This window comes from Homo sapiens, chromosome 5 (genome assembly GCF_000001405.40).
Source record: "Homo sapiens chromosome 5, GRCh38.p14 Primary Assembly".
NCBI classification, from domain to species: domain Eukaryota; kingdom Metazoa; phylum Chordata; class Mammalia; order Primates; family Hominidae; genus Homo; species Homo sapiens.
Window position 1 is genome coordinate 95,176,352 of NC_000005.10, and position 13,080 is coordinate 95,189,431.

At 38.4% G+C, this 13,080-nt stretch overlaps 1 protein-coding gene and 1 long non-coding RNA gene across 20 annotated transcripts in view; one reads left to right on the plus strand and one right to left on the minus strand.

The window, feature by feature from the left end:
- Positions 1 to 13,080, minus strand: part of MCTP1 (multiple C2 and transmembrane domain containing 1) — a 581,405-nt gene that overhangs the window by 472,662 nt on the left and 95,663 nt on the right. The gene's annotated exons all lie outside the window — the stretch shown is intronic.
- The window catches only part of LOC105379085 (uncharacterized), a 121,023-nt gene that overhangs the window by 37,778 nt on the left and 70,165 nt on the right, over positions 1 to 13,080 (plus strand). The window lies entirely within an intron of this gene.

The window sequence follows — 13,080 nt, forward strand, 5'->3', positions numbered from 1 at the left end:
CCATCTCTACTAAAAATACAAAAATTAGCCAGGTGTGATGGCACACACCTGTAATCCCAGCTACTGAGGAGGCTGAGGCAGGAGAATCGCTTGAATCCAGGAGGCAGAGGTTGGAGTGAGCTGAGATTGTACTACTGCACTCCAGCCTGGGCGACAAAGTGAGACTCTGTTTTAAACAACAACAAAAACAGCAGTATTGATATAAAGTCTTTTTCTCCAATAAGTTTTCATTTAAAAATACATATACATACTTTGGGAGGCCAAGGAGGATAGATTTTGTGAGTCCGGGAGTTTGAGACCAGCCTGGCCAACATGCCAAAACCCTGTCTCTACTAAAAATACAAAAAATTAGCTGGGCATGGTGGTGCATGCCTGTAATGTCTGTAGTCCCAGCTAATCAGGAGGCTGAAGTGGGGAGAATCACCTGAGCCTGGGAGATCGAGGCTGCAGTAAGCCAAGATTGGGCAACAGAGTGAGACACTGTCTCAAATATAAAAAATAAAAATATATATATACCTACATTTTTTTTTTGAGACAGAGTCTTGCTCTGTCGCCCAGGCTAGAGTGCAGTGGTGCAATCTCCGCTCACTACAAGCTCAGCCTCCTGGGTTCACGCCATTCTCCTGCCTCAGCCTCCCGAGTAGCTGGGACTACAGGCGCCCGCCACCATGCCCAGCTAATTTGAGAGAGAGAGAGAGACATGAAATACACATACATAATATATACACATAATATATATTAGGGTTATCCGGAGAAACAGAATTAGGGTGTGTATACATAGAAATATATATTTATTTTTATATCTATATTTATATATTTATATTTACATGTACCCACATACACACAGAGAGAAAGAGATTTATTTTAAGGAATTGGCTCCTGTGATTGTGGAGATTTAATGAGTCCAAAATCTGATGAGTTGGGCCCTAGGCAGAGCTGTAGGGAAGACTCCAAAGGCAATGTGCTTTTACAAAACTCAGATAAATTGTATGATCTCCGGTTTAATACTCTGTCTGAAAGTCCATCTAAGATTTAGAAGTTGAAATAATTCTATGATCCATTGGCTGGATTAATGAAGTTATGTTTAATGGTAGAAAGCAAATATTCACATTTTCATTTAAGTCCCCAAGAGAATCACGGTTATCTGGAGCATTAAAAAAACATTAAGCATTAAGAGTAGTATCTTAAAAGCTCTATTATCCAGTTATATCACTGAGCGACAAGAAACATAGCTATATGCTTTGCCATCTGTGCATGAGCTGAATAACAGACATGCAGTGAAAGGAGTAACGTGATTGGTCACTGATCAAGTTGCACATTCGTTATTTGCATAGTGATTTGTGGACTGAAGAGGTAGCAGTTGTGCTTTATTGCAATTACCACAGTTAATGTACACTGACTGGTAACCAAAATTGGAATTTTGCTTGTGTCTATTTAAAACCCAAGCTGGTTGAGATCATATAAGGAATTACTAGACAGAAAACAGGAGGAAGTTAAGTACTATACCAGGTGGGATCCCAAATTGTAGAGGTAAAATAGGAAAAATTTAGTAAAAGAGATTACGATAAAGCAGTCAGTGAGGTGGTGGGAAAGCAAAAAAATGTAGTGCCTACAAATCAAATTTCTGTAGTGTTTTGAGAATGGGGAAACTCTTGACTTTGGTCAGCATGCTCCTAAGTGGACTGCAGGCTATGTGGGAACTGGGTGAGGCCTGTGACTGCCGTCTTTCCCCCACTTCCCTGGTGACCTGTGTGACTCAGCAAAGGCAGCCATAATCCCCCTGTGAACATACCTCCATTGGGCTGAGAACCACACTCCCATCCCCCACAGCAGCTGCAGCAAGGCCCACCCAAGGAGACTCTGAGATCAGACAGGCCTATCCTTGTCCCCACCTAGTGGTCTTTCTCTGCCTGCCCTGGCAGCTGAAGACAAAGAACATAATCTCTTGGGAGCTCTATAACCCCACCCACTGCCTGATCCTGCTTATACAGCTGCAGCTGATACGCTCTGGAAAATGAGACAGAGTCTTGCTCTGTCGCCCAGGCTAGAGTGCAGTGGTGCACTCTTGTGTTCCTGGCTGAAGGCCAACCAACACAAAACCAGCACACTAAAGAAAAATACAAGCAAGGACCCACACAGAGTCTATTTCACTTTGCAGACATTCCTTAGTACCAGCTCAGAGCCTGGTAGGCTCTGCTGGGTGACTAGACCCAGAAGAGCAAAAGCAATCACTGCAGTTCGCCTCTCAGGAAGCCCCATCCCTAGGGGAAGGGGGAGAACACCACATCAAAGGAGCACCCCATGGAGCAAAAGAATCTGAACAGCAGCACTTGAGTTCCAGATCTTCCCTCTGACATAGCCTATCCAAATGAGAAGGAACCAGAAAAATAATTCTGGTATTACGATAAAACAAGTTTCTTTAACATCCCCAAAAGACCACACCAGCTCACCAGTAATGGATCCAAACCAAGACAAAATTTCTGAATTGCCAGAAAAAGAATTCAGAAGGCCCATTATTAAGCTAATCAAGGAGGCACTAGAGAAACGTGAACTCCAACTTAAAGAAATCAAAAACATGATACACGATATGAGAGGAAAAATCTTCAGTGAAATAGATAGCATAAATAAAAAACAATCACGACTTCTGGAAATCAAGGATACACTTAGAGAAATGCAAAATGCATTGGAAAGTCTCAGTAATAGAATAAAATGATCAGAAGAAAGAACTTCAGAGCTCAAAGACAAAGCTTTTGAATTAACCCAATCTGACAAAGACAAAGACAAAAAATATTTAAAAATGAACAAAGCCTCCAAGAAGTTTGGGACTATGTTAGGCATCCAAACCTAAGAATAACTGGTGGTGTTCCTGAGGAAGAAGAGAAATCTAAAAGTCTGGAAAACACATTTCAGGGAATAATCAAGGAAATCTCCTCTGGCCTTGCAAGAGATCTAGATATCCAAATACGAGTAGCTCAAAGAACATCCAGGAAATTCATTACAAAAAGATCATCATCTAGGCACATAGTCATCAGGTTATCTAAAGTCAAGATGAAGGAAAGAATCTTAAAAGCTGTGAAGCAAAAGCATCAGGTAACCTATAAAGGAAAACCTATCAGACTAACAGATTTCTTAGCAGAAACCATACAAGCTAGAGTAATTGGGGTCCTATTTTAGCCTCCTTAAACAAAACAATTATCAACCAAGAATTTTTTATCCAGAGAAACTAGGCTTCATAAATGAAGGAAAGATACAGTCTTTTCCAGACATAACAAATGCTGAGAGAATTCACCACTACCAATCTGGCACTACAAGAACTGCTAAAAGGCGCTCTAAATCTTGAAACAAATCCTCAAAACACACCAAAATAGAACCTCCTTAAAGCATAAATCTCACAGGACTTATGTAACAATAACACAATGAAAAAATAAACAAGGTATTCAGGCAACAAATAGCACAATAAACAGAATAGTAGCTCACATCTCAATACAAATACAGAATGGCAAATGGATAAGAATTCACCAACCAAGTTTCTACTGTCTTCAGGAGACTCACCTAACACATAGGAACTCACATAAACTTAAGGTAAAGAGGTAGAAAAAGATATTCCATTCAAATAGAAACCAAAAGCAAGCAGGAGTAGCTATTCCTATATCAGAATAAAACAAACTTTAAAGCAACAGCAGTTAAGAAAGACAAAGAGGGACATTATACAATGATAAAAGGACTAATCCAACAGGAAAATATCACAATCCTAAATATACATATGCACCTAACACTGGAGCTCCCAAATTTATAAAACAATTACTACTAGACCTACCAAATGAAACAGAAGGCAACACAACAATAGTGGGGGACTTGAATACTCCACTGTCAGCACTAGACAGGTCATGAAGACAAAAAGTCAACAAAGAAACAATGTAGGAGGCAGTCACTATTTTCCCTCTCCATTCCCACCTCCCTGTCTGCCTCCAAACATTCCAGTTGGGCCTTAGGCCATGTTACTCCAGCAAAACAACCCTGTCTAGGTCCAGATTGATCTTAATATTCCAGTTTCAATGGTTAATTAGTCCACACTACTTGACCTCTTAGGAGCATTTTGACCAAAGCTGAAAGCTTCCTCCTTCTTCACATGTTACTAAAATTTGGTTTCTGGGCACTGTGCTTTCTTGGCTTTTCCACCACCTCTCTGGCTGCTCTTTCTCTTTTGCTAAACTTTCCCTGTCTATCTCACGTCTACAGTTCGGGGCACTACCGGGTATAGTCCTTAACCTCTTACTGTTCTGTATCTAGTAACTCCCTATATGATTCTCAACCAGTTTGAGGTTTTAAATAGCATTTATATATCAATGACTCCCAAATTTGTATCTCTAGCCACCGTCTCTTCCCTGAGCTCTAGAATAGGTGATAATATTCCTCTCAACTTATCACATCTAAAGGAAAACTTTTAATTTTCCCTTCCCAGCTGCTGCTTCCCATCTTCTCCATCTTTATATATCATACCATTATACCCTTACTTGCCCTAGCCAAAAACTTAGGAATGATCTTTAATTCCTTTCTTTCCCTCACAGCCCATACCTAATCTATCAGTTTGCTCAGTTTGGTCTTCAGGATATACCCTGAAGCTGACCTCTTCTTAAACCCTATTGCTAAAACCCTGGTCCAAACCATCATTATTCCTCACCTGAACTGCTGCAAAAACCTCCCAACTTGGCCTCCAGCCAGGAAGGGGTTTTCTTGTTTCCACTATAGCTATTCCATAGTCAACTTTTAGCTCAGTTTCCAGAATGATCCTCTAAAAATGCATATTGAATCACATCACTCCTCTGATTAAAACTGTCTGGCAGCTTCTCATCACACAAAGTATAAAATCCAAACTCTTTACCACAGCCTACAAGGGCTCCTGTGATCTGTCCTCTTTGTGCTTCTCCAAGCTCATCTTCTAATTCTCTCCCTCTAGCTCACTCTAGCTACACGTCTACATTCTGCTGTTTTTATACTACAAGCTCATTCCTCTTTTGGGGGATTTGCATTTGCTATTCCTTCCACATAATATTCCCCACCTCCTTCAATCTTAGCAGTGCTTTATTGATTGATTGCCTAAAGGTCAGCTCAGCAGGATGTCTTCCATGATGACTTTATATAAAAGAGCACTTCCTGTTCGCATCCCTGTTCCCTCTTCATTTTCCTTCATAAAAATTATCATACCTCTTGATATTCCATTATAAGTACACACACACATACATACACAGGGTGAGAGAGAGAGAGAGAGACAATCCTCACTTAGCACACTTTTGATATGCATGGGGTTCAGTTACAACATTTTAAATAAAAACCCTAGTCCCTCAACAGCATGCTTCAAATTTCAGTTCTCATGGTAGATTAACAGTAAGTAATTGCATAAGATACAAAATTTGCCACCAGCCCTTCAGTCCACAAATCGCTATGTGAAAAGAGAGATGTGCATAATGATCAGTAACTAATTGCATCACTCCTTTCACCATCCGTTAGTGATTGCTCACTGTGTTTGTTATTCAGTTCATCACAGACAGCAAAGCATGGACTTTGGATGCCTCTTTGTCTCCCACTGATAAACCCATAGGATGTTTTATGAAAACGGGTCACTGAAAGAGAGAATTAGACAACAAAGATGAAAAAGCAGCAAAGAAACAACAAATGATAACACAAAATAAAATAAAAATAAAATGTAAATAGAGTTACAAAAGAAATATCTGACCATGGGAATATTGATACTGGCATCATTTGAGAAACTATAGCTCTATAACCAAAGGAACTCAGTGAAGCACAGCTATCAACACACATGAGGAAAAGTGGGTGTGAAGAAAAGGATGAAGATGCCCCAGAAGTCACGCTTGCTGAAAAACTTCCCCTTAAAGGAATTCTCAAAGATACATCATGATATTGAAGGCACAAAGGAGAAAACATTGGAAGGTGATTCAAACTTAGAAAAGAGCATGATGATTTGATAAGATATTGAGAAGATGCTCACTCTGTATGGTAGGTTATACAAGAAGAAGGCAAGCGCTGTTCAAACTACTCCTGACACTTTTTTCCCAGAATATAAAATACTTTAATTTTGAATGTTTCTAATGTTTGAAACTATAGTATGTTAAATTAGTATTGGTTGTACTATTTTTTCATTTTCTTATACTTTCATAACTTTAAGCAGTAAGAGATTTTTTAATATCAAAATGTTTTATAGGTTATGGAACAATAGTAATATTTTCATTGATTTTTACAATCATTTTGCATGGTTTCAGCTTGCATGGCCATTTTTACAGTCCCACACCACTGTGGAAAGCAAACATTGTATAAAGAAACAAAAATAACTACCATAGTCAGAATCATTTTTAAAATTATAAAAAAAATGGGGGGGACTCATGTTAACTGGCTTAAAGAATATTATAAAGCTGGGAGGCCGAGGCGGGTGGATCACAAGGTCAGGAGATCAAGACCATCCTGGCTAACATGGTAAAATCCGTCTCTACTAAAAATACAAAATAAAAATTAGCCGGACATGGTGGCGGGTGCCTGTAATCCCAGCTACTCAGGAGGCTGAGGCAGGAGAATCGCTTGAACCTGGAAGACAGAGGTTGCAGTGGGCTGAGATCGCACCATTGCACTCCAGCCTGGGTGATAGAGCAAGACTCCGTCTCAAAAAAAAAAAAAAAAAGAATATTATAAAGCTACAATAATCAAATCAGGACAGCGCCAGTATAAGGACAGATGAATATATCAGTGGAACAGAATAGAGTCCAGAAATAGATCCATACATAAGTGGTTAATTGATATTTGTCAAATGTGCCAAGGCAATTCAAAGAGAAATGGATAGTGGTCTCAAAAAATTATGCTGAATCAACTGGGCATCTTTATGAAAAATAATAAACCTCAACCTCACACCATACAAAGAATGAATCATAGCCTAAAACATAAATCTAAGCATAAGCCTTAAAACTTCTAGAATGAAACATAGGAGAAAAATTTTACAGCCATGGAGTAGGTTCATTTATTAATTTAAAATAAATATAATTTATATTTATTAGAATTAAAAATTTATTAATGAGAACATGAAAGCACAAACATAGAAGGAAAAACAATACACTGCAATTGATCAAAATTAAAACTTTTACTTTTCAAAGGATATCAAGAAAATGCAAAGGAAAGCCAGAAATTTGGAGCATGAATTTGAAATACATATATCTGACATATTGTATATCCAAAATATATAATGAGATCTTGCAACTCAAGAAAAAGACAAACTACTGACTAAAAATAAACATGCAAACAAGCAAAATAATTGGGCAAAGATTGAGCCGACATTCGCCAAAAAAAGTATGAGAATGGTAAATAAGTACATAAAAGGATGTCCACCTTCATTAATGAAGGAAATAAAAATAAAAATCACAATTAGATACTACTTCAGATCTATTGGAATGGCTGAAATTAATCAGACTGACAATACCAAAGAAGGGTGAAGAGCAACTGAAACTTGCTACAGTGTTCTTTGGAGTATAATATGGCGTGAACATTTTGAAAAAGAGTTTGGCAAACACCGCATGTTCTCACTCATAATTGGGAGTTGAACAATGAGAACACATGGACGCAGGGAGGGGAACATCACACACCGGGGCCTGTTGGGGGGTGAGGGGCTAGGGGAGGGATAGCATTAGAAGAAATACTTAATGTGGATGATGGGTTGGTGGGTGCAGCAAACCACCATGGCACATGTATACCTATGTAACAAACCTGTACGTTCTGCACATGTATCCCAGATCTTAAAGTATAATAATAATAATAAAAAAAGGAGTTTGGCACTTTTTAAATGAAGTTTAACATCTACTGACCCAAAGGTATAGAATCTCCAACTTCTAGATATTTGCCCAAAAGGAAATACGTGTCCACAAAAAGGATTACACATCCAAATAACAATAAAGAAACTGAATCCATAATCAAAAAGTTCTCCAAAGAAAAATATTCAGGTCCAGATAATTTCACTGGAGAATTTTACCAAACATTTAAAAAATTGACACTAATTTTGAAACCACCTTTGCAAAATTATAACTGAGCAAATTATGACAGTGAAAGAAATCAGACCTAACCGACTCCATCTTGCTTCTAACCTTTAAGCTGTCCTTGTTCATTCCCGGGTGTAGGGCAAACTAACTTTGGGAAGGATTCAGTTCATGGTTTAACTATCAAACAAAACTGATAACAGCCCTTTCCTGAAAAGACCCCCTTCTTGCCTGGGGACCAGTCTGCCTTTACAGGACTAACAAATTAGCTACAAGATTAAAAATTACAGTTTAGGGGTCATGCAGCTTCTGGCTCCAAAAGTCTGAACCTCCCCAAATTGCTCCTGGGGATAACATCACTATTGTAAAACCTAAGATCAGTACTTGAGACATTTTTCAGACCCTGCACTTGATGGATCAGCTGACACCACCCAGACTGGTAATCTGCCTCAACCAGTTCTGCCATCTCACCCAGGAACAGAAGACATTAAGAAAACCTAACTTCAACCCCCTATGATTCCATCTCCAACCTGACCAATCAGCATTCCCCACTTCCCAAGGCCCTATCTGCCAAATTATCTTTAAAAATTCTGATCCCCGAATGCTCAGGGAGACTGATTTGAGTAATGATAAAACTCCGGTCTCTTGCACAGCCGGCTCTGCATGAATTACTCTTTTTCCATTACAGTTCCCCTGTCTTAAGAAAGCAGCTCTGTCTAGGCAGTGGGCAAGGTGAACCCACTGGGCAGTTACAATTTTACACAACCATTCTGAGAAAACGGAAGTGGAGGGAATGTTTCTCAACTTACTTTATGAGGCTAGTATTGTAATGATACCAAAACCTAACAAAGACAGTACAAACAAAGAAAACAAAAAATATATTCTATGAACTTAGATGCAGAAATCCTCAACAAAACATTAGCAAATTCAAATCCAATAACATACCATGACCAAGTTTGTATTTGTTCCCTATATTTAATGCTGGTTTAATATTTGGAAAATTGATCAATGAAATCCACCATATCAACAGGTTAGAGATGAGAAATCATATCAATTGGCACAGAAAAGGCAGCTAACAAAATACAGGATCATTCATGGTTTTTTAAAAATAGAACTCTCAGGCCAGGTGCAGTGGCTCATACCTGTAATCCCAGTATTTGGGAGATCGAAGTGGGTGGATTGCCTAAGGTCAGGAGTTGGAGACCAGCCTGACCAACATGGTGAAACCCTGTCTCTACTAAAAATAGAAAATTAGCCAGGCATGGCAGCGCATGCCTGTAATCCCAGCTACTCGGGAAGCTGAGGCAGGAGAATCCCTTGAACCTGGGAAGTGAGGCCAGGCATGGTGGTTCACGCCTGTAATCCCAGCACTTTGGGAGGATGAGGCAGTTGGATCACAAGGTCAGGAGTTTGAGACCAGCCTGGCCAACATGGTGAAACCCTGTCTCTACTAAAAAAATAAGCCGGACATGGTGGCACGCACCTGTAATCCCAGCTACTCAGGAGGCTGAGGCAAAAGAATCGCTTGAACCCATGAGGCAGAGGTTGCAGTGACCCAAGATCATGCCACTGCACTCAAGCCTGGGCAATAGAGAGAGACTCCATCTCAAAAACAAACAAACAAACAAACAAAAAACCCTGGGAGGCAGAGGTTGCAGTGAGCCGAAATTGCGCCACTGCACTCCAGCCTGGGTGATGGAGCGATACTCTGTCTCAAAATAAATACATAAATAAAATAAAAATAAAACGTTCAGTTCTAGCCACTGAAATAAGGCAAGAGAAAGAAAAAAAAAGATATTCAGACTGGGAAAGAAGAAGTAAACCCATCTCTATTTGCAGATAACGTAATTGTCTATGTAGAAAATCCCAAGGAATCTACCAAAAAAAAAAGAAAAAAAAGAAAAAAAAAACTCCCAGACCTAATAAGCAAGTTTTGCAAAGTTGCAAGATAGAAGATCAATCCACAAAAATCCATCATATTTCTATATACTAACAATTAACATGCAGAAACTGAAATTTAAAATATAATACTATTTAGAATCACTTCAAAGAAAATGAAATACTTAAAAATATATTAAGAAAATGTGCATGGGATCTTATGCTAAAAATTGCAAAATGCTGATGAAATAAAAGAAAGATAGAAATAAATGGAGAGATATACCTTGTTCATGGATTGGAAAACTCAACATAGTGAAGTGGTTAACTCTCCCCAAGTTGACATATGAGTTTAATATAATTCCTATCAAAATCCCAGCTTTGTGGACATAGAGAAAATTTATATGGAAATGCATAGCCCTATAATAGCTAAAAGAAAGTTGATAAAGAAGAATAAAGTAGGTACAGAAATCACTCTGCCTTTTAATAAGGCTTACATTATTAGCTAGAAAAATCAAGACAGTATGGTAGTGTTTTAGGGAACAGACTCTAGATCTATTCCTAGATCCATCCAGAGAGAGCCACAGAAGAGAACCCAGAATCCAGAAACAGACCCACAAAATACATCCAGTGGCTTTTAATAAAGATGCCAATGAAAGTTAAAATGGCTTATATCCAAAAGACAGGCAACAATAAATGCTGGCAAGAATGTGGAGAAAAGGGAACCCTCATACACTGTTGGTGGGAATGCAAATTAGTACAACTACTATGGAATACAGTTTGGAGGTTGCTTAAAAAACTAAAAATAAAGCTAGCATATAATCCAGCAATCCTAACTGCTGGGTATATACCCAAAAGAAAGGAAAGCAGTAAATCGAAGAGATATTTGCACTCCCATGTTTATTGCTGCACTGTTCACAATAGCTAAGATTTGGAAGCAACGTAAGTGTCCATCAGCAGGTGAATGGATAAAGGAAATGTGGTACATATACAAAATGGAATACTATTCAGCCATAAAAAGAATGAGATCCTGTCATTTGCAACAACGTGGTTGGAAAAGGAGATCATTATGTTAAGTGAAATAAGCCAGACCCAGAAAGACAAACATCATATGTTCTCACTTATCTGTGGGCTCAAATCAAGTTTTTTTGTTTTTGTTTTGAGATGGAGTCTTGCTCTGTTGCCCAGGATGGAGTGCGGTGGTGTGACCTCAGCTCATCTTAACCTCCACCTTCCGCGTTCAAGTGATTTTCCTGCCTCAGCCTCCCAAGTAGCTGGGACTACAGGCACCCGCCACCACGCCCGGCTAATTGTTTGATATTTTTAGTAGAGATAGGGTTTCACCATGTTAGCCGGGATGGTTGTGATCTCCTGACCTCGTGATCCACCCGCCTCAGTCTCCTAAAGTGCTGGGATTACAGGCGTGAGCCACCGCGCCTGGCAATCCCATCTTTTTGGTAAGGGATTGGGGGTAGGGGGAAGGGTAAGAAGCAGGTGAGGATAGTTAATGGGTACAAAAAGAAACAATGAATAAGACCTACTATTTGATAGCACAACAGGGTGACTATAGTCAATATTAAGTTAATAGTACATTTAAAAATAACTGAAAGAGTATAATTGGATTGCTTCTAACATAAAGGATAAATGCTTGAGGGGATAGATATCCCATTCTCCATGATGTGATTATTACACATTGCATGCCTGTATCAAAACGTCTCATGTACCCCATAGATATATACACCTACTATGTACGCACACAATTAAAAATTATTAAAAATTTTTAAAAAGAATTCTCATAACTCAACAGTAAAGAAACACCATTCAAACAGAAAATGGACAAAAGACATGGAAAAGATATTTTACCAAGACAGATACATAGATGGCAAATGAGTACATGAAAAGATGTTCAACACCATTAACCATTAAAGAAACAAATTAAAACTACAGTGAGATATCACTGCACACCTGTAAGAATAGCTCAGATAAAAAAGAGTGACAACATCAAATGCTGATGATGCTGAGAAGTTGGCTCACCGGTGCAATGATGCTGGAAATGTAAAACGGTACCGTTATTCTGGAAAACAGCTCAGCAGTTTTATATAAAACTAAACATACTATCACCATATGACCCAGCAATTGTGCTCTTGGGCATTTATACCAGAGCAATGAAAACTTATCTTTACACAAAAACATGTACACTAATGTTCACAGCAGCTTTATTAGTAACAGCCAAAAACTAGAAACAACCTTCGATGGGAAGGAAACCCATTGATATACACACAGCTTAGATAAATCTCAAGGGAAGGATGCTGAGTGAAAAATGTCAATCTTAAAAGTTGCATATTATATGATTCCGTTTAAATAGCATTCTTGAAATAACAAGATTATAGAGATGGAGAATATATTACTCATTTCCAGGGGTTGGGGATGGAGGAGATGTATGTGGTTATTAAAGGGCAATGCGGGAGATCTTTGTGGTGACAAAACTGTTCTGACAGGGGTGGTGAATATGCAAAACTACACATGAAATAAAATTGTCTAGAACTAAATATACACACACACACTCGAGTACATGTAAAACTGGGAAATCTAAATAACATCAGTAGATGATAACAATGTCAATTCCTGGTCATGATACTGTACTATAATTCTGTAAGATGTTACTACTGGAGAAAACTGAATAAAGGATACACGGAATCTCTCTGTGTTATGTCTTAAAATCACACGTGAATCTAAAAAATCTCAAAATAAAAAGGTGTATTAAAGCAAAAAGATTTGAATACAATCTCATAGTAGCATTTTCATAACAGTCCTAGACCGGAAATAACCCAAATGCCCAACAACAGGTGAATGGAGAAGCAGATTTTCCTACTCAGAAATAGAAATGAACAAATTGTTCATACATGCAACACCATAGTTAATTTCCCAGACAATACTGAATGAAAGAAGACAATATTTCATTTATATGAAGTTGCAGAACAAATAAAACTAATCAATGGTGATGAAAAAAATTAAAGAGTTGGTGAAAGGGAGGAGTGAAGCGACTGCAAAAGAATCTGCAGGCCTTTCTAGGATGATGGAAATATAAAGACATCTTGATTAAGGTGGTGGTTACATACGACACACATTTATCAAAACTTATCAAAGCATATCCTTTAAATCTGTGCTTTTTATT